Source organism: Homo sapiens, chromosome 11 (assembly GCF_000001405.40).
Source record: "Homo sapiens chromosome 11, GRCh38.p14 Primary Assembly".
Taxonomy (NCBI): Eukaryota; Metazoa; Chordata; class Mammalia; order Primates; family Hominidae; genus Homo; species Homo sapiens.
Window position 1 is genome coordinate 62,771,120 of NC_000011.10, and position 17,837 is coordinate 62,788,956.

Consider the following 17,837-nt stretch of genomic DNA (forward strand, 5'->3'; position numbering starts at 1 on the left):
TGTCTTTGAGACTGTTTATTTCCTCGTTACTATTGTGGTGGTAAAAAAAATAAAATATGCTTATTAAACGTGTGTTAAAACAATACACACCTACTCGCAAACGTAGCAAGAGAGGTTGCTTTAAGAAGCGGGAATCTTCAGCGTCACGTGACCGCCGGTCTCTACAGTCTGTTCACACTGGCCAATCAAGAGCCAGGAAGCCTCCTGGAGGGCCGGAAACTTTCCAAGGCGCCCGCCGACTGGCTGTATTGGGGAGGGCGGGGCCGGGGCCCCGGGAGAGGGAATGAGTGTGAGCTCGTGAGTGGGCGCCGCCGCCACCGCCCCCGCCGCCGTCGTCTCGGTAGCAGCCTTCGCCACGCCGGGGTCTTCAGGTGAGCAGGCCTTGCTCTGGTCCAAGGACTCCCCATTCCCGACGCCGACTGCTTACTCACCAGTCTTGGAGCCCGCACCGCGAGGGCCCGCCCCCTTGGCTGACCACGTGACCCAAGTTCAGTGACCCCTGACCTCCTCCCCCCGCGCACCCCCTCCCCGATCTGGGCTGGGCTAGGCCGGGTGGGAGGATGCGCGTTGCCGAGGCCCGGCCCGCGGAGGTCAGTTCCCACGCCTCCTCTCCAGCGTGACTAGTGGCTGAGGATGCGGAGGAGAGGAGGCTGAGGAGCGGGAGACTTTGGTCACAGTCTAGATTTCGTGTACGGTCATATAATAGGGAAACTCCCTCCGTGCCTTTCGCGCTGGTGGACTAAATGCTCCCATTTTACAGATAGGGAAACTGCAGCTTCACAACGATCTATTGGCGGGTCTAGGGTCACCAAGGGGTGGGTCTCCAATCCATGTCTTTGGGGTGGGATCCAGGCCTTGTTCCCCATACAGCTGGCGGCTCCTGAATGCGGTATAGAGTAAAGATTAGGAGCAAGGGGTTGAGTCCTTGCTCCCCCTCCCTACTTACTCAGTGCTTACTTCATGATCTTGGAGAAGTCATGGAACATTTAGCCTCTGAGGTTTGATTTCCTTGCCTGTGAAATAGACGAAATACATAATAATATCTTATTATTGAGAATATAGTGAAGTAATCCATATAAAGCACTTAGCTGTGTCTCAGGCATAGTACAGTGCTATTCGTGGCCGGGCGCGGTGGCTCACGCCTGTAATCCTAGCACTTTGGGAGGCCGAGGCACCTGGATTGCCTGAGCTCAGGAGTTCGAGGCCAGCCTGGGCAACACGGTGAAACCTCGTCTCTACTAAAAATACAAAAAATTAGCTGGGCATGGCGGCGTATGCCTGTAGTCCTAGCTACTCGGGAGGCTGAGGCAGGAGAATTGCTTGAACCAGGGAGGCAGAGGTTGTAGTGAGCCGAGATCACGCCACTGTACTCCAGCCTGGGTGACAGAGCGAGACTGTGTCTCCAAAAAAAAAAAAAAAGCTCGTCGGGCCAGGTGCGGTGGCTCTCACGCCTGTAATTTCAGCACTTTGGAGGCCGAGGTGGGCGGATCACCTGAGGTCAGGAGTTCCAGACCAGCTTGGCTACCATGGCGAAACTCCATCCCTACTAAAAATACAAAAATTAGCCAGGTGTGGCGGCACAGGCCTGTAATCCCAGCTACTCGGGAAGCGGAGGTTTTAGTGAGCCGAGATCAAGCCACTGCACTCCAGCCTGGGTGACAGAGTGAGACATCAGACATCATCTCCAAAAAAAAAAAAAAAGAATAGTTCTTCTTTCTTTCTTTTAGAAGATCTTTTTTTTTTGTTTGTTTTTGTTTTTTGTTTTGTGTTTTTTTTGAGACTGAGTTTAGCTCTGTCATCCAGGCTGGAGTGCAGTGGTGCAATCTCGGCTCACTGCAGCCTCTGCCTCCTGGGTTCAAGTGATTCTCCTGCCTCAGCCTCCTGGGTAATTTTTTGTATTTTTAGTAGAGACAGGGTTTCACCGTGTTAGCCAGGATGGTCTTCATCTCCTGACCTCGTGATCCACCAGCTTCGGCCTCCCAAAGTGCTGGGATTACAGGCGTGAGCCACCATGCCTGGCCTATAATTACAAATTTTTTTTTTTTTGAGATGGAGTCTTGCTCTGTCGCCCAGGCTGGAGTGCAGTGGTGCGATCTTGGCTCACTACAACCTCCACCTCCCGGGTTCAAGCAATTCTCCTGCCTCAGCCTCCGGAGTAGCTGGGACTACAGGCGCGGACCACCATGCCTAGCTAATTTTTGTATTTTTAGTAGAGACGAGGTTTCACCATATTGTCCAGGCTGGTCTAGAACTCCTGACCTTGTGATCCACCCGCCTTGGCTTCCCAAAGTGCTGGGATTACAGATGAGCCACTGCGCCCGGCCTACAATTTTTTTTTTTTTTTTGAGACGGAGTTTTCCCCTTGTTACCCAGAATGGAGTGCACTGGTGCGATCTTGACTCACTGCAACCTCTGTCTCACGGGTTCAAGCGATTCTCCTGCCTCAGCCTTGCGAGTAGCTGGGATTACAGGCATGTGCCACCACACCTGGCTAATTTTGTATTTGTAGTAGAGATGGGGGTTTTTCTATGTTGGTCAGGCTGGTCTTGAACTCCTGACCTCAGGTGATTCGCCCGCCTTGGCCTCCGAAAGTGCTGGGATTAGAGGCGTGAGCCACTGGGTCCAGCTACAAATTCTTACGACTGGTTTGGAGGCAGAATGCAAGGACATTGGAGGATCTAGGAAGACATCCCTGAGCAAGTGACATTTGAACTGAAATCTGAAGGAGTGAGTAGCAGTTCACTAGACAAAGGGATTGGGGGTGGAGGACAGGGAGGAGAGAGTTCCAAGTGGAGGAAGCAGTGTTCAAAGGTCCTAAAATAGGTGTATTTGAGGAACTGAAAGGAGGACACAGGTGGGAATACAGAACACAAGAAAGTAGGAGATAAGAGGTAAGAGGTATTGCAGAAGTAGGCAGTACATGCAGAGCCTCCAGAGCCATTGTTCAGATTTGTTCTTTATTTCTTTTTTTTTTTGAGACGGAGTCTTGCTCTGTTGCCCAGGCTGGAGTGCAGTGGCGTGATCTCGGCTCACTGCAATCTCCGCCTCCTGGGTTCACGCCATTCTCCTGCCTCAGCCTCCCGAGTAGCTGGGACTACAGGCGCCCGCCACCAAGCCCAGCTAATTTTTTGTATTTTTAGTAGAGATGGGGTTTCACCGTGTTAACCAGGATGGTCTGGATCTCCTGACCTTGTGATCCGCCTGCCTCGGCCTCCCAAAGTGCTGGGATTACAGGCGTGAGCCACCGCGCCCGGCCCAAATTTGTTCTTTATTTCAAAGACAATGGGGAGCCATTGGGAGGAGTGCTGCACAGAAGCCACATAGCTGTCCATTGGATGTAGGGACCTGGACGTCACTGGTGACCCATTGATCCCCTGCCAGAGGAGTAGTGGGGGCAATGCCTGGGTGGGTCATCCTGGATCTGGGCCTTCCTGTCTGAGGTGTGGATGCATCACTTTGGCGCACGGGAGCCTACCTTCTGGTGCTGTGCGTTGTTGGAGTGAGTCATCAGCTGCTGTTTTTGTCGGTTTCTTATTGTGCTATACCCTGTGAACAAAACAGGTTCCAGCATTTAGGCACTGCAGCCAAACTGGGGAAGACCAAACACATAGGCAGAAAGCCCAGCTACTATCCAGCCTGGCCAACATGGCGAAATCTTGTTTCTACTAAAAATACAAAAATTAGCTGGGCGTGGTGGCACGTGCCTGTAATCCCAGCTACTTGGGAGGCTGAGGCAGGAGAGTTGGGGGCAACAAGAACAAAACTCCGTCTCAAAAAAAAAAAAAAAAAAATTTAGCCATCCGGGCGTGGTGGCAGGTACCTGTAATCCCAGCTACTCAGGAGGCTGAGGCAGATAATTACTTGAACCCGGGAGGCGGAGGTTGCAGTGAGCTGAGATCGCGCTGCTACACTCCAGCCTGGCGCCAGAGCGAGACTCTGTCTCAAAAAAAAAAAAAAAAAAGAAAAGACTGGGTAATGTATAAAGGAAAGAGGTTTAACTGACTCAATGCTGGGGAGGCCTCAGGAAACTTACAGTCATGGTGGAAGAGGAAGCAAACATGTCTTTCTTCATGTGGCTGCAGCTAGGAGAAGTGCCGAGCAAAAGGGGGAAAAGCTCTTTATAAAACCATTAGATCTTTTGAGAACTCACTATCAGGAGAACAGCATGGGGGAAAATGTCCCCTTGATTCAGTTATCTCCACCTGGTCCCGCTCTTGACACGTGGGGATTATTAAAATTCAAGGTGAGATTTGTGCGGGGACACAGCCAAATCATATCAGTCATCTCATTTTCACAGCAACCCTGTGAGCTAGAGAGGGCAGGAATTATTGTGCCTGTTTTACAGTTTAGGACACAAGGGCTCAGACTGATGAAGGCCTTGGCCAAATTCACATAGAAGGTGACAGGGCAGGAATGGGACCTAGTTCTGTGAACCCCAACACTTTGGACTTTGTCTAGCTTCACCGTTCTTGACCCACTGGCCAGTCTGTTTCCTTCTCTGAGCCTCACTTTCCTCATCTGGGTACTCAGAGCTCCTTGTTTAGAAACTCCAGAGCACGAGCAGCAAGGCTGGTGTGGAGGGTGTTGGATCACACTCCTGGGCTCTCCGGGAGGCTGGGCAGCTTTTCCAGTCTTCATTCTCCACTCCCAGCTCCACTGGGGCCATGTCAGAGCGAGAAGAGCGGCGGTTTGTGGAGATCCCTCGGGAGTCTGTCCGGCTCATGGCGGAGAGCACGGGCCTGGAGCTGAGCGATGAGGTGGCGGCGCTGCTCGCAGAGGACGTGTGCTATCGTCTGAGAGAGGCCACGCAGGTACACTCCCCTCACCCCCTGATACCTCCAACTTTCCTTGTTTCTGCCTTTTTACTAACCTCCACCCTCGCTGATTTATTCAAGTGTACACTGGGTGCCTGCTCCATACAACAGAGACAGTCCATGCCTTTACAGAACTCTACTTGTAGCTGTCTGGGCTTCCAGCAGACAAAGCGCTTGCCAGGCATCTTCCCATGTGCTCCTCACAACAGCCCTGTTGGGCAGGCAGAGCGGGTAGATACTCACATTCTGCATGTGAGAAACTGAGGTGTTGACAGAAGATGTGACACCCGGGGGGTGTTTTTGTACAGGAGCAGAGACGGAATCTAGGCTTCTGATCCCTAAGCGTGGTCTCCTGTTTGCCTTCTCTCCAGTCTGGCCCACTTCATTTGGGGTTTCCCATGCCCCCTGCTTCACATCCTTTGACTCTGGCTTTTGTTCCCTCCCTCCCAGAATAGCTCTCAGTTCATGAAGCACACCAAACGCCGGAAGCTGACGGTTGAGGACTTCAACAGGGCCCTCAGATGGAGCAGCGTGGAGGTGAGTGGGGTGCAGGCTACAGAGGGCTCAGGTGGCATGAGGCCACTTCCATGTCCAGTTCAGGGCTGGCGATGTGGTGAGACATTAAGACCAAACGCTGCCGGGCATGGTGGCTCATGCCTGTAATCCCAGCACTTTGGGAGGCCGAGGTGGGCGGATCACTTGAGGCCAGGACTTCAAGACCAGCCTGGCCAACATGGCGAAACCCCTTCTTTACTAAAAATACAGAAATTAGCTGGGCCTGGTGGTACATGTCTGTAATCCCATCTAGTCAGGAAACTGAGGCATGAGAATCGCTTGAACCTAGCAGGCAGAGGTTGTGGTGAGCTGAGATTGCACTCCAGCCTGGGCAACAGAGCAAGACCCTGTCTCAAAAAAAGAAAAAAAAAAAAAAAAGGCCGGGCACAGGAGCTTACACCTAAAATCCCAGCACTTTGGGAGGTGGAGGCCGGCGGATCACGAAGTCAGGAGTTTGAGACCAACCTGCCCAACATGGTGAAACCTCGTTTCTACTAAAAATACAAAAATTAGCTGGCCGTGGCGGTGGGCGCCTGTAACCCCAGTTACTCAGGATGCTGAGGCAGGAGAATCGCGTGAACCTGGGAGGCAGAGGTTGCAGTGAGCTGAGATTGTGCCACTGTACTCCAGCCTGGGTGACAGAGCAGGACTCCATGTCAAAAAAAAAAACAACCAAAAAAACACAAAAATTAGCTGGGTGTGGTGGTGGGCACCTGTAATCCCAACTACCTGGGAGGCTGAGGCAGGAGAATCGCTTGAAACTGGAAGGCGTAGGTTGCAGTGAGCCGAGATCACGCCACTGCATTCCAGCCTGGGCGAAAGAGCAAAACTCTGTCTCAAAACAAAAAAAAGAAAAAAAGACTAAACGCACACATAAGGGAAGCAAGACCCTGATAGCAACAGCAGACCAGGTGCTAGGCCCAGCCCACCTGGGCTATGTGTTCAGAAAAGAGGGAGAGGAGGCCACTGGAGGCCCAGAGGTTAGAGAAAGCTTTTTGGAGGAGGTGGGACTGGAGCTGGCCCTTAAAGGGTGGTGAAGAACTTGAGCTTGGCTTAAACTAGGCCAAGAGGAAAAGAAGGCATTCAGGCTAAGGGAGGAGCCTGAGCAACAGTGTGGGTGTTAGGGCCTCATGGTGTGGTTTTTCTGGAGCGGTGAGTTGAGAGAGGAAGGCTATGTTTAGAAGACATTAGTGAGTTTTCAAAGTTGAGTGAGTGTGAATAAGGAGGACCAGTGCTTGGTGTGGGGCTCAGGACCCTTCCAGTTATGGGAGGAGCGACCATGTTCTTTCCCTTGACCCAGGGAGCCCCGGATGCTCCAGGCAAGTCCCCAGTGGTGGCTCTGAGTCCCAGGCTTCCACCACTTTTCTTGGGACTTCTGGACTTCCTTCAAACGTGGGCTCTCTGCTCTGGTCAGTGGAGCCTCATCCTGGATCCTGACGCCTGCTCCCTCCCTGGATTCAGGCTGCTCTCCAATTCCCTTTTTCCTCAGGCTGTGTGTGGTTACGGATCACAGGAGGCACTGCCCATGCGCCCCGCCAGGGAGGGTGAACTCTACTTTCCTGAGGATCGAGAGGTGAACCTGGTGGAGCTGGCCCTGGCTACCAACATCCCCAAAGGCTGTGCTGAGACAGCTGTCAGAGGTGGCTGCCGGGGTCCTGCATGGGTTGGGGATGGGAGTTGGGCCGTGAAGAGAAGTGGTGATGGGCTGGCTGGTGGAAGAGGCAGAACTTGGAGGGGTAGGCGGTACTCTAAGGGGCAAAACGCCAGGCTGACACATCTCTCTGCACTGCTTCTAGTTCATGTCTCCTACCTGGATGGCAAAGGGAACCTGGCACCTCAAGGATCGGGTAAGGGGTGATGTAGGAAACAGGCTCTTTGGATGAATTTTCTCCCTTAGGTTCTGAGGGTGGTGCCTATGTGCCCCCGAGTCTGCGTCTAACATGTGTTTACCCATGCCTGCCTTGTGCCATGGTCTGAGTGGGCGCTGGGCTCTGCATGGAGGGCTCAGAGTTGGAGATGGGGGCCCAGACCTGTAACTAGTCATAATGCAGCATGTTGGATGCTAAGACAGAAGTCTGGGCAGCATGCTGGGGCGGTGTTTCACCCCCAGGGTATGCTGAGCAGAGCTTCACAGAGCCTGAAGCTCTCAGGAGTCCGTCTGGCAGAGGGTGGGTGGAAGACAGGACAGAGCACAGAGGTGTGCAGAGCCTAGATGGTCAGGGCTGAGCAGGCTCTAAGAGCAGTCTCTTGCCCTGGTTGTCCTGTCAGAAAGGCTTCTTGTGGATGTGTGTGGGGATGGTGGTTGAGGGGGAGGAGGCTGGAGAGGCCAGGAGAGGGCCAGCTCTCCACCTGTCCCTGCTTCCTGCCTGTCCTCTGGCAGTGCCCAGTGCTGTGTCTTCACTGACAGATGACCTTCTCAAGTACTATCACCAGGTGACTCGTGCTGTGCTAGGGGATGATCCGCAACTGATGAAGGTGAGCGAGTGGGCCCAAGTTGGGGCACAAAGTTGAAATTGTAAATTCTAGACCTGTTTTTTTTTTTTTTTTTTGAGACAGAGTTTCGCTCTTGTTGCCCAGGCTGGAGTGCAATGGCATGATCTCAGCTCACCGCACCCTCTGCCTCCCAGGTTCAAGTGATTCTCCTGCCTCAGCCTCCTGAATAGCTGGGATTACAGGCGTGTGCCAGCATGCCCGGCTAATTTTGTTTTGTTTTGTTTTGTTTTTGAAACGGAGTCTTGCATTGTCACCCAGGCTGGAGTGCAGTGGCGCGATCTCGGCTCACTGCAAGCTCCGTCTCCTGGGTTCATGCCATTCTCCTGCCTTAGCCTCCCGAGTAGCTGGGACTACAGGTGCCCGCCAACATACCCGGCTAATTTTTTGTATTTTTTAGTAGAGACGGGGTTTCACCGTGTTAGCCAGGATGGTCTTGATCTCCTGACCTTGTGATCCACCTGCCTCAGCCTCCTAAAGTGCTGGGATTACAAGTGTGAGCCACCGTGCCCAGCCTTATATTTTTAATAGAGACGGGGGTTTCAGCATGTTGGTCAGACTGGTCTCGAACTCCCGACCTCAGGTGATCCACCCGCCTTGGCCTCCCAAAGTGTTGGGATGACAGGTGTGAGCCACTGTGCCCGGCCTAATTCTATGAACATTTAAATTTTTATTTATTATTTTAATTAAAAAAACATTTTTTTTAAGATGGGGTCTTGCTCTGTCACCTAGGCCGGAGTGCAGTGGTGTGATGTTGGCTCACTGCAGCCTCTACCTCTTGGGTTCAAGCAATTCTCCCACCTCAGCTTCCCAAGTAGCTGGGATTACAGGGGCATACCACCATGCCTGGCTAATTTTTGCATTTTTAGTAGAGATGAGGTTTCACCGTGTTGGCCAGGCTGGTCTCAAACTCCTGACCTCAGGTGATCCACCCGCCTCTGCCTCCCAAAGTGGTGGGATTACAGGCGTGAGCCTATATATATATATATATATATATATTTTTTTTTTTTTTTTTTTTAGAGACAGGGTCTCACTGTATTGCCCAGGCTGGTGAAACTCCTGCCCTCAAGCAATCCTTCCTTGGCCTCCCAGCACTTTGGGAGGCAGAGGTGGGCGGATCACTTGAAGTCAGGAGTTCGAGACCAGACTGTCCAACATGGTGAAACCCCATCTTCACTAAAAATACAAAATTAACTGGCTGTTGTGGTGGGTGCCTGTAATCCCAGCTACTCGGGAGGCTGAGGCAGGAGAATTGCTTGAACCCAGGAGGCAGAGGTTGCTGTGAGTCAAGATCACACCACTCAGGTGGATCACCTGAGGTCAGGAGTTCAAGACCAGCCTGGCTAACATGGTGAAACCCCGTCTCTACTAAAAATACAAAAATTAGTCACGTGTGGTGGTGGACGCCTGTAATCCCAGCTACTCAGGAGGCTGACGCAGGAGAATCGCTTGAACCTGGGAGGCAGAGGTTGCTGTGAGCTGAGATTGTGCCATTGCACTCCAGCCTGGGCAACAAGAACAAAACTTCATCTCAAAAAAAAAGATCACGCTGCTGCACTCCAGCCTGGCTGATAGAACGAAACTCCGTCTCAAAGAAAAACGAAAAAGTAATACTAGTACATGTTTACTGTAGAAGTACATATAATATAAAAACATAGAAAAAGAAAGTGGCTGGGTGCGGTGGTTCACGCCTGTAATCCCAGCAGTTTGGGAGGCCGAGGTGGGTGGATCATGTGAGGCCGGGAGTTCGAGACCAGCCTGGCCAACATGGTGATTTCCCGTTGGATATCTACTAAAAATACCAGAAAATTAGCCGGGCTTGGTGGCATGCGTCTGTAATCCTAGCTACTTGCGAGGCTGATGCAGGAGAATCGCTTGAACCCAAGAGGCAGAGGTTGCAATGAGCCGAGATCGCGCCACCGCACTCCAGCCTGGGCAATAGAGTGAGACTCCATCTCAAAAAAAAAAAAAAAAGGGCCGGGCACGGTGGCTAACGCCTGTAATCTCAGCACTTTGGGAGGCCGAGGCGGGTGGATTGCTTGAGGCCGGGAGTTCGAGACTAGCCTGGTCAACATGGCAAAACCCTGTCTCTACTAAAAATACAAAAATTAGCTGGGCGTGGTGGTGGGCGCCTGTAATCCCAGCTACTTGGGAGGCTGAGGCAGAAGAATTGCTTGAACCCAGGAGGCAGAGGTTGCAGTGAGCTGAGATTGAGCCACTGCACTCCAGCCTGGGCGACAGGGCGAGACTCCATCTCAAAGAAAAAAAAAAAAGAAAAAGAAACTGAAAAGTCTATTCCTCCACCTACTTTTTTTTCTCTGTATCAACTATGATTACTCTCATAAAAACCTAAGTGGTATTATATTAAGCATCTGGTTTTATAGATTGCCTTTCTCAGTTAAAAATGTTGGATGGCCGGGCGCGGTGGCTCACGCCTGTAATCCCAGCACTTTGGGAGGCTGAGGTGGGCAGATCACGAGGTCAGGAGATCGCGACCATCCTGGCTAACACGGTGAAACCCCGTCTCTACTAAAAAATAGAAAAAATTAGCCGGGTGTGGTGGCAGGCGCCTGTAGTCCCAGCTACTCGGGAGGCTGAGGCAGGAGAATGGTGTAAAACCTGGGAGGTGGAGCTTGCAGTGAGCCAAGATCGTGCCACTGGGCGACAGAGCGAGACTCGGTCTCAAAAAAAAAAAAAAAAGTTGGACATTCAGGTTGTATTCAGGGCCATATGCAGGTATATGTGAATGAGTTTCTGTAGGTTACATTTATAGAAATAGAATTGCTAGATCAAAGAATATGAACATTAAAATTGTAAAACATGAATAAGGTGATACACTGTCTTCCAGAAGAATACCGCATTCATGTTTTACAATTTTCTGGTGGATCCAATGCAGTCTGGGCCCTTCCTTTTAGGTTGCACTCCAGGACTTGCAGACGAACTCCAAGATTGGGGCACTCCTGCCTTACTTTGTTTATGTGGTCAGTGGGGTAAGTGACCAGGCTGGGACAGGGAGAATGTTTTATAAGGAAGAGATGACCCAGCAGGTGTAGGGCTCATGGCAAGTGCTGTCAGAATGGTGGGCTCCTGCCTGTCCCCTCATGTCCCTGTAAGCTACCCTCTTCTCCCAACAGGTGAAATCTGTAAGCCATGACCTGGAGCAACTGCACCGGCTGCTGCAGGTGGCACGGAGCCTATTTCGTAATCCGCACCTGTGCTTGGGGCCCTATGTCCGCTGTCTGGTGGGCAGTGTCCTCTACTGTGTCCTGGAGCCACTGGCTGCCTCCATCAACCCCCTGAATGACCACTGGACTCTGCGGGATGGGGCTGCCCTCCTGCTCAGCCACATCTTCTGGTAGCCACTGGGCCTAAACCTGCGGGTGGGATTGCTGCAGAGCCAAGTGGGTTGGGGTAAGGAAATGGGGCGAAGCCTCTGGCTTTGAGAGTCTATGAGAAGATGGGGAACCTTTTCCCTAGGAGCGTCCTAGCTGGTGTGCTGTGACACACTGGGATTCTGAAAATGGATTACAAATACGCCAAGGTATTGGTTCTTCAGCCCTCAGGTCCTAGGCCAGTCACCCCTGGCAGCCTTCTTCACTTAACCCCAGCACTCCCGAGTGTGCTGTACAGATGCTATTCTCTTTGTGTTGTCTTGTGCCCTGTTGGGTGGCACCATGCCTCATTCCCCTCCCTAACTGAATGGTGCTCCCACAGGACTCATGGGGACCTTGTAAGTGGCCTCTATCAGCATATCCTGCTATCCCTGCAGAAGATCCTGGCAGATCCTGTGCGGCCGCTCTGCTGCCACTATGGAGCCGTGGTGGGGCTGCATGCTCTTGGCTGGAAGGTGAGCACCCTGGCCTTTCTCACACAGCCGTAAGAACTCCCATTTGTGTTAGAAAAATAGTACTTGTGCATCGTTATCTCCAAAATAGTGTGTGCCTGCCACTGCCATGTATTGAGTTCTGGCCTTAGGCCAGGCTCAGTGATACTTGACTTTCTGAATGTAAATGTCTTATCCTTTCGAAAGTCCTATATGGCAGATACTGATGTCCCCACATTTTATAAATTCCTGCCCGTTCTATATTATCACATTAAGAAATACCTTCAATTCCTGTTGTATTGAGCATTTTACACATGAATAGATACTGAATTTTGTCATACCTTTTTAGCATCTGTAGAAATTATCAAATGATTATACGCTTTAAAAATTAGGTGTTGGCGCCGGGCGCAGTGGCTCACGCCTGTAATCCCAGCACTTTGGGAGGCTGAGGTGGGCGGATCACAAGGTCAGGAGATCGAAACCATCCTGGCTAACACGGTGAAACCCCATCTCTACTAAAAATACAAACAATTAGCCTGGTGTGGTGGCGGGCGCCTGTAGTCCCAGCTACTCGGGAGGCTGAGGCAGGAGAATGGCGTGAACCCGGGAGGCGGAGCTTGCAGTGAGCCGAGATTGCGCCACTACACTGCAGCCTGGGCGACAGAGCGAGACTCTGTCTCAAAAAAAAAAAAAAGTTAGGTGTTGCCACTGTGATAATATTAAGAGGGAGGATCTTTTTTTTTTTTTTTTGAGACGGAGTTTTGCTCTTGTCGCCCAGGCTAGAGTACAGTGGCATGATCTCAGCTCACTGCAACCTCTCCCTCTTGGATTTAAGCAATTCTTCCACCTCACCCTCCCGAGTAGCTGGGATTACAGGCACGTGCCACCATGCCCACCTAACTTGTATTTTTAGTAGAGAGGCAGTTTCATCATGTTAGCCAGGCTGGTCTCAAACTCCTAGCCTCAAGTGGTCTGCCTGCCTCGGCTTCCCATAGTGCTGGGATTATAGGCATGAGCCACCACGCCCAGCCGATTATGTGGTTTAATATGACAAGTTCTATTCTGTTGATATGCTAGGTGTATTAATGGATTCTTCTTCTGAACCACTTTTGTATACCTGGAATAAGTTCTATTTGTTGCTTTTGAGATTTTTGTTTTTTTGAGATGGAATCTTGCCAAGATGGCGCCACTACACTCCAGCCCGGGCGACAGAGTCTCACACTGTCGCCCGGGCTGGAGTGCAGTGGCGTGATCTCGGCTCACTGCAACCTCCACCTCCCGGGTTCAAGTGATTCTCCTGCCTCAGCCTCCTGAGTAGCTGGGACTTACAGGCACGCACCACCAGGGCCAGTTAATTTTTGTATTTTTAGTAGAGACGGGGTTTCACAATGTTGGCCAGGATGGTCTCAATCTCTGGACCTCGTGTTCCGCCCGCCTCGGCTTCCCAAAGTGCTGGGATTACAGGCGTGAGCCACCGGTGCCTGGCCATATATATATATTCTTAATTTTTTTTTTTTTTTTGAGACGGAGTCTCGCTCTGACACCCAGGCTGGAGTCCAGTGGCGCCATCTTGGCTAACTGCAACCTCCGCCTCCCGGGTTCACGCCATTCTCCTGCCTCAGCCTCCCGAGAGTAGCTGGGACTACAGGCGCCCGCCACCATGCCCGGCTAATTTTTTGTATTTTTAGTAGAGACAGCGTTTCACCGTGTTAGCCAGGATGGTCTCGATCTCCTGGCCTCATGATCCGCCCGCCTTGGCCTCCCAAAGTGTTGGGATTACAGGTGTGAGCCACCGTGCCTGGCCTATATTCTTAATTTTATCATCAATTTATATTGGATTTTTATCAGATGGTTTTTCTGCATCTTTTGAAATGATCCGAAGGCTTTTCAGCTTTTGTTTTCCAATGTTATTACAGATTTCCTGATAGTAAACAATCTTTATAGTTCCATGATACACTAAACTATGTCATGGGATAGTCGTAAAGAAAAAACCCAAAGCTTTTATTGGACTGTAATGCATTTTAATTTACTTGTGGGTCTGCTAAATTTTAAAAGGGTTTATATTCAGGAGTGAAATTAAACATGTTTCCTCTCATGTACTGTCCTTGTCTGGTTTTAGAATCAGGGTTATACTGGCCTTACAGAATGATGTGGGGAGTATTTCTTTTTTATATTTACTTTAATAAGATTTAGATCATCTTTTTCTTTTCTTTTTTTATTTAATAGAGATGAGGTCTTCCTACATTGCCCAGGCTGGTCTCAAACTCCTTGGTTTAAGTGATCCTTTGGCCTTCCCAAAGTGCTGGGATTACAAGCGTGAGGCACTGCACCTCGCCTATCTTTTTCTTGAGTGTCTGTAGACTTTTGTAAATTCTGGCATGGTATTTTCTTTCCTTTTTTTTTTTTTCGAGACAGAGTCTCACACTGTCACCCAGGCTGGAGTGCAATGGCGCGACCTCGGCTCACTGCAACCTCTGCCTCCTGGGTTCAAGCGATTCTCCTGCTTCAGCCTCCCGAGTAGCTGGGATTACAGGCGCTCACCACCATACCTGGCTAATTTTTTGTATTTTTAGTAGAGACGGGGTTTCACTGTGCTGGCCAGGGCTCGTCTCGAACTCCTGACCTCCTGATCCGCCTGCCTTGGCCTCCCAAAGTGCTGGGATTACAGGCGTGAGCCACAGCGCCCGGCTGGTATTTTCCTTATAGGCCCAGCTGGTATTTTCCTTATAGTTAATTCTTTTTTTTTTTTTTGAGACGGAGTCTCACTTTGCTTCCCAGGGTGGAGTGCGGTGGTGTGATCTCGGCTCACTGCAACCTCTGCCCCCCGAGTTCAAGTGATTCTCCTGCCTCAGCCTCCCAAGTAGTTGAGATTACAGGCAACTGCTACTGCGCCCAGCTAATTTTTGTATTTTTAGTAGAGATGGGGTTTCACCATCTTGGCCAAGCTGGTCTTGAACTCCTGACCTCAGGTGATCCACTGGCCTCGGCCTCCCAAAGTGCTGGGATTACAGGCGTGAGCCACAGCGCCTGTCCAATCACAGGATTTTAAATTGTATAATCAGAGTCCAAGTCTCTGGTTGGTTGTTTTTATGCAGATTGTTTGAACTGAGTCTCAGTTTACATCTAAGTGAAGCCAGTACTTGCCTGATTGTATAGGGTAGCAGTATGCAAACTAAATTTTGGAGTTGTCAGTAATGAGCATTATTTAGCACACAGGGCAGTGATATTGGGTATATTTTTTATTGTCTCCCTTTGTACCTTATCTTTATTCCCAATGCCTAGCTTAGGTATACAGTAGGTTCCAAATAAATATATGGTTGAATATGCCAATCAGGGAATTTAGGAGGATTGAGCCCTGTCTAGGATCAGAGATAAAGGTAGGTCTTTCATGGGAAAGGGTCCTTGAGAGGGAATAAGTATCAAAGACATGCTAACTGTATTCCTTCTCTTCCTTCCAGGCAGTAGAACGAGTCCTGTACCCACACCTGTCCACCTACTGGACAAACTTGCAGGCTGTGCTGGATGATTATTCAGTATCTAATGCCCAGGTCAAAGCAGATGGACACAAAGTCTATGGAGCCATTCTGGTGAGTACCGTCCCCTTCCAGCCTCCCTTCCCTGCATGAGCTTAGCAGCCAAGCAGGCTTACTTTGGAATATTTGATGGGCCCAGGTTCCTCGAATTTTTTGCCTATCTTAGTCCTTGGCTCTTACAGGTGGCGGTAGAGCGACTGCTGAAGATGAAGGCCCAGGCAGCAGAGCCCAACAGGGGTGGCCCAGGTGGCAGGGGGTGCCGGCGCCTGGACGACCTGCCATGGGACAGCCTTCTCTTTCAAGAGTCGTCCTCCGGGGGCGGTGCAGAACCCAGCTTTGGGTCCGGCCTCCCGCTGCCGCCAGGGGGCGCGGGGCCGGAGGACCCTTCTCTTTCGGTGACCCTGGCCGACATCTACCGGGAGCTCTACGCCTTCTTCGGTGACAGCTTGGCCACACGCTTTGGCACCGGCCAGCCTGCACCCACGGCTCCGCGGCCGCCCGGGGACAAGAAGGAGCCGGCGGCAGCCCCGGACTCGGTGCGGAAGATGCCGCAGCTGACGGCAAGCGCCATAGTCAGCCCGCACGGCGACGAGAGCCCCCGGGGCAGCGGCGGAGGCGGCCCCGCGTCGGCCTCTGGGCCCGCCGCCTCTGAGAGCAGGCCCTTGCCGCGCGTGCATCGGGCGCGCGGGGCACCCCGGCAGCAGGGCCCCGGGACCGGCACCCGCGACGTTTTCCAGAAGAGCCGTTTCGCCCCGCGCGGCGCCCCGCACTTTCGTTTCATCATAGCCGGGCGGCAGGCTGGGAGGCGCTGCCGCGGGCGCCTTTTCCAGACTGCCTTCCCCGCGCCGTACGGGCCTAGCCCGGCCTCGCGCTACGTGCAGAAACTGCCCATGATCGGCCGTACCAGCCGCCCCGCCCGCCGGTGGGCGCTCTCGGACTACTCGCTGTACTTGCCGCTCTGAGTCAGTGGCCCCTTCGTTCCTTGTAAATAAATCCCGCCCCCGGAAATGACGTCTCCACCTTCGTGGGTCGCGCCGGATAAGGTGGGCTTTGGGCGGGGTGCTGCTGCAGCGGCGCTTCCTGGTGGTCAGGGCGCCATGGCGCTGTCCTGGCTGCAGCGCGTCGAGCTTGCGCTCTTTGCTGCCGCCTTCCTGTGCGGGGCCGTGGCGGCCGCGGCGATGACTCGGACCCAGGTGCGGCTGCGGGGCGGGGTCAGGTAGGCGGGGGAGCTGGCCGGTCTGGACATGGCGAGGCCACTTTCGCTTTCCGACCGGGCTTGCTGCTGCTCGGAGCCGGTGGACCTGGTGAGGCACGGCTGGCGCCGGCCTGTACCTGAAATGCAGCGAGGCTAATCGCGCTTTGTGGCTCCTCCTGGCCAGGTCATACTTCGAAGTTGTCCCCTCGCCAAAGGGACGGGTCAGTAGCGTCTTAAAGCACTAGGTGGAGTCGGGTTTCGTGGCTCCTGCTGCACAGCCTTACTGTGGTTCCGAAACAGAAGTCAGTGCAGAACCTGCGTCCATCCGTTAAATCAGAAGCCATTTGTGCTGAGCTTTGTCGAGAAATAAAGCATAGTGTAGTGGAGATGATCAAGCTGCCACATGATTGTAGCACAGTGTGTTAAATGACAAAATGAGAGATGGAGAAAACGCTGACGTAAAGGTAGAAGCCAATAATTTACATCGTTTACCCCAGCCAGGTAATCTGGTTAATAAACATGGGTTCATTTAATGCCTATAAAGTAGGCACTAGTGTGCCTATTTTACACCATGAGAAAACCTCAGAGATCCGCCGGGCGCGGTGACTCACGCCTGTAATCCCAGCACTTTGGGAGGCTGAGGCAGGCGGATCACTTGAGGTCAGGAGTTCGAGACCAGCCTGGCCAACATGGCAAAACTCTGTCTCTACTAAAAATACAAAAATTAGCCGGGTGTGGTGGCTCATGCCTGTAATCCCAGCTACTTCGGAGGCTGAGGCAGGAGAATCGCTTGAACCTGGGAGGCGGAGGTTGCAGTGAGTCGAGATCGTGCCATTGCACTCCAGCCTGGGTGACGAGCGAATCTCCATCGCAAAAACAAAAACAAAAACACTGGCCGGGCCTGGTGGCTCACGCCTGTAATCCCAGCACTTTGGGAGGCCGTGGCAGGCGGATCACGAGGTCAGGAGATCAAGACCATCCTGGCCAACACGGTGAAACCCTGTCTCTACTAAAAATACAAACAATTAGCCAGGCATGGTGGCGGGTGCCTGTAGTCCCAGCTACTCAGGAGGCTGAGGCAGGAGAATGGCATGAACCCAGAAGGCAGAGCGTGCAGTGAGCCGAGATGGCGCCACTGCACTCCAGCAAAAAAAAAAAAAAAAAGCACCTCACAGATAGTTATTTGTTGAAGGATATACAAGGCCTGGGTTTACTCTAAGGTTTCTGCACAGAGACCATAACTTGTGAGGCTTCTCTGAAGCTCATTGCATTCTATATTCATTGCCTATTTTCTGATCCTTCTGGCCACTGCCGGTGTGATTCCCCAGCAGGCCCTCTCCATCAATATCCCTGTCCCAGAAATAGGAATTGACGGTGCACAAATAACTTCCTGGAATGCAGGACCATTCCTAAGTTATCACTAACAC

The 17,837-nt window shown here is 51.9% G+C and overlaps 3 protein-coding genes across 10 annotated transcripts in view, besides 5 other annotated features; 2 read left to right on the forward strand and 1 right to left on the reverse strand.

Annotated features, from left to right (window-relative positions):
* TMEM223 (transmembrane protein 223) overlaps positions 1 to 17,837 on the reverse strand; it is a 20,887-nt gene continuing 3,050 nt past the window's right edge. The window contains exons 2-4 of one of the 3 annotated variants that reach the window (XM_047427581.1): positions 3,476 to 3,546; positions 958 to 1,013; positions 1 to 243 (exon numbers count right to left, since the gene is read on the reverse strand). In XM_047427581.1, the coding sequence (XP_047283537.1) occupies positions 987 to 1,013; positions 3,476 to 3,546 (98 nt within the window). In that variant the 3' untranslated portion in view covers positions 1 to 243; positions 958 to 986. Of the gene's footprint in view, positions 881 to 946; positions 1,014 to 3,475; positions 3,547 to 17,837 lie in introns of all 3 variants that reach the window. The other 2 variants (XM_047427579.1, XM_047427580.1) reach the window with 2 other exon arrangements.
* Positions 127 to 536: a silencer, noted in NCBI's record as "silent region_3429". NCBI's record gives its function as "represses an Ori minimal core promoter by ATAC-STARR-seq in GM12878 lymphoblastoid cells {active_cell/tissue: GM12878}" and the evidence as "EXISTENCE:reporter gene assay evidence [ECO:0000049][PMID:35858748]".
* On the forward strand, positions 277 to 16,223 carry TAF6L (TATA-box binding protein associated factor 6 like). Of its 3 annotated transcripts, none has more exons than NM_006473.4 (11): positions 277 to 371; positions 4,652 to 4,811; positions 5,265 to 5,351; positions 6,859 to 7,009; positions 7,166 to 7,216; positions 7,750 to 7,844; positions 10,775 to 10,849; positions 10,994 to 11,214; positions 11,574 to 11,706; positions 15,141 to 15,269; positions 15,398 to 16,223. In NM_006473.4, exons 2-11 carry the CDS (start codon positions 4,665 to 4,667, stop codon positions 16,175 to 16,177), a joined length of 1,869 nt encoding a protein of 622 aa, NP_006464.1. In that variant the 5' UTR covers positions 277 to 371; positions 4,652 to 4,664; the 3' UTR covers positions 16,178 to 16,223. The 3 variants fall into 3 exon arrangements, with proteins under 3 accessions (NP_006464.1, XP_005273771.1, XP_016872589.1); XM_005273714.3 differs by having other exon boundaries at positions 7,777 to 7,844; XM_017017100.3 differs by lacking the exons at positions 277 to 371; positions 4,652 to 4,811; positions 5,265 to 5,351; ... (2 more) ...; positions 7,750 to 7,844; positions 10,775 to 10,849 and having other exon boundaries at positions 11,134 to 11,214; positions 11,337 to 11,706.
* Positions 727 to 866: an enhancer, noted in NCBI's record as "active region_4846". NCBI's record gives its function as "activates an Ori minimal core promoter by ATAC-STARR-seq in GM12878 lymphoblastoid cells {active_cell/tissue: GM12878}" and the evidence as "EXISTENCE:reporter gene assay evidence [ECO:0000049][PMID:35858748]".
* Positions 6,340 to 6,389: an enhancer, noted in NCBI's record as "active region_4847". NCBI's record gives its function as "activates an Ori minimal core promoter by ATAC-STARR-seq in GM12878 lymphoblastoid cells {active_cell/tissue: GM12878}" and the evidence as "EXISTENCE:reporter gene assay evidence [ECO:0000049][PMID:35858748]".
* Positions 15,354 to 15,553: an enhancer, noted in NCBI's record as "active region_4848". NCBI's record gives its function as "activates an Ori minimal core promoter by ATAC-STARR-seq in GM12878 lymphoblastoid cells {active_cell/tissue: GM12878}" and the evidence as "EXISTENCE:reporter gene assay evidence [ECO:0000049][PMID:35858748]".
* Positions 15,804 to 15,913: a silencer, noted in NCBI's record as "silent region_3430". NCBI's record gives its function as "represses an Ori minimal core promoter by ATAC-STARR-seq in GM12878 lymphoblastoid cells {active_cell/tissue: GM12878}" and the evidence as "EXISTENCE:reporter gene assay evidence [ECO:0000049][PMID:35858748]".
* Positions 16,283 to 17,837, forward strand: part of TMEM179B (transmembrane protein 179B) — a 2,999-nt gene continuing 1,444 nt past the window's right edge. For 3 of the 4 annotated variants that reach the window (NM_199337.3, NM_001363599.1, NM_001363600.1), the window contains exon 1: positions 16,283 to 16,408. In NM_199337.3, coding sequence (NP_955369.1) covers positions 16,313 to 16,408 — 96 coding nt within the window. In that variant the 5' untranslated portion in view covers positions 16,283 to 16,312. Of the gene's footprint in view, positions 16,432 to 17,837 lie in introns of all 4 variants that reach the window. The other variant, NM_001363601.1, reaches the window with a different exon arrangement.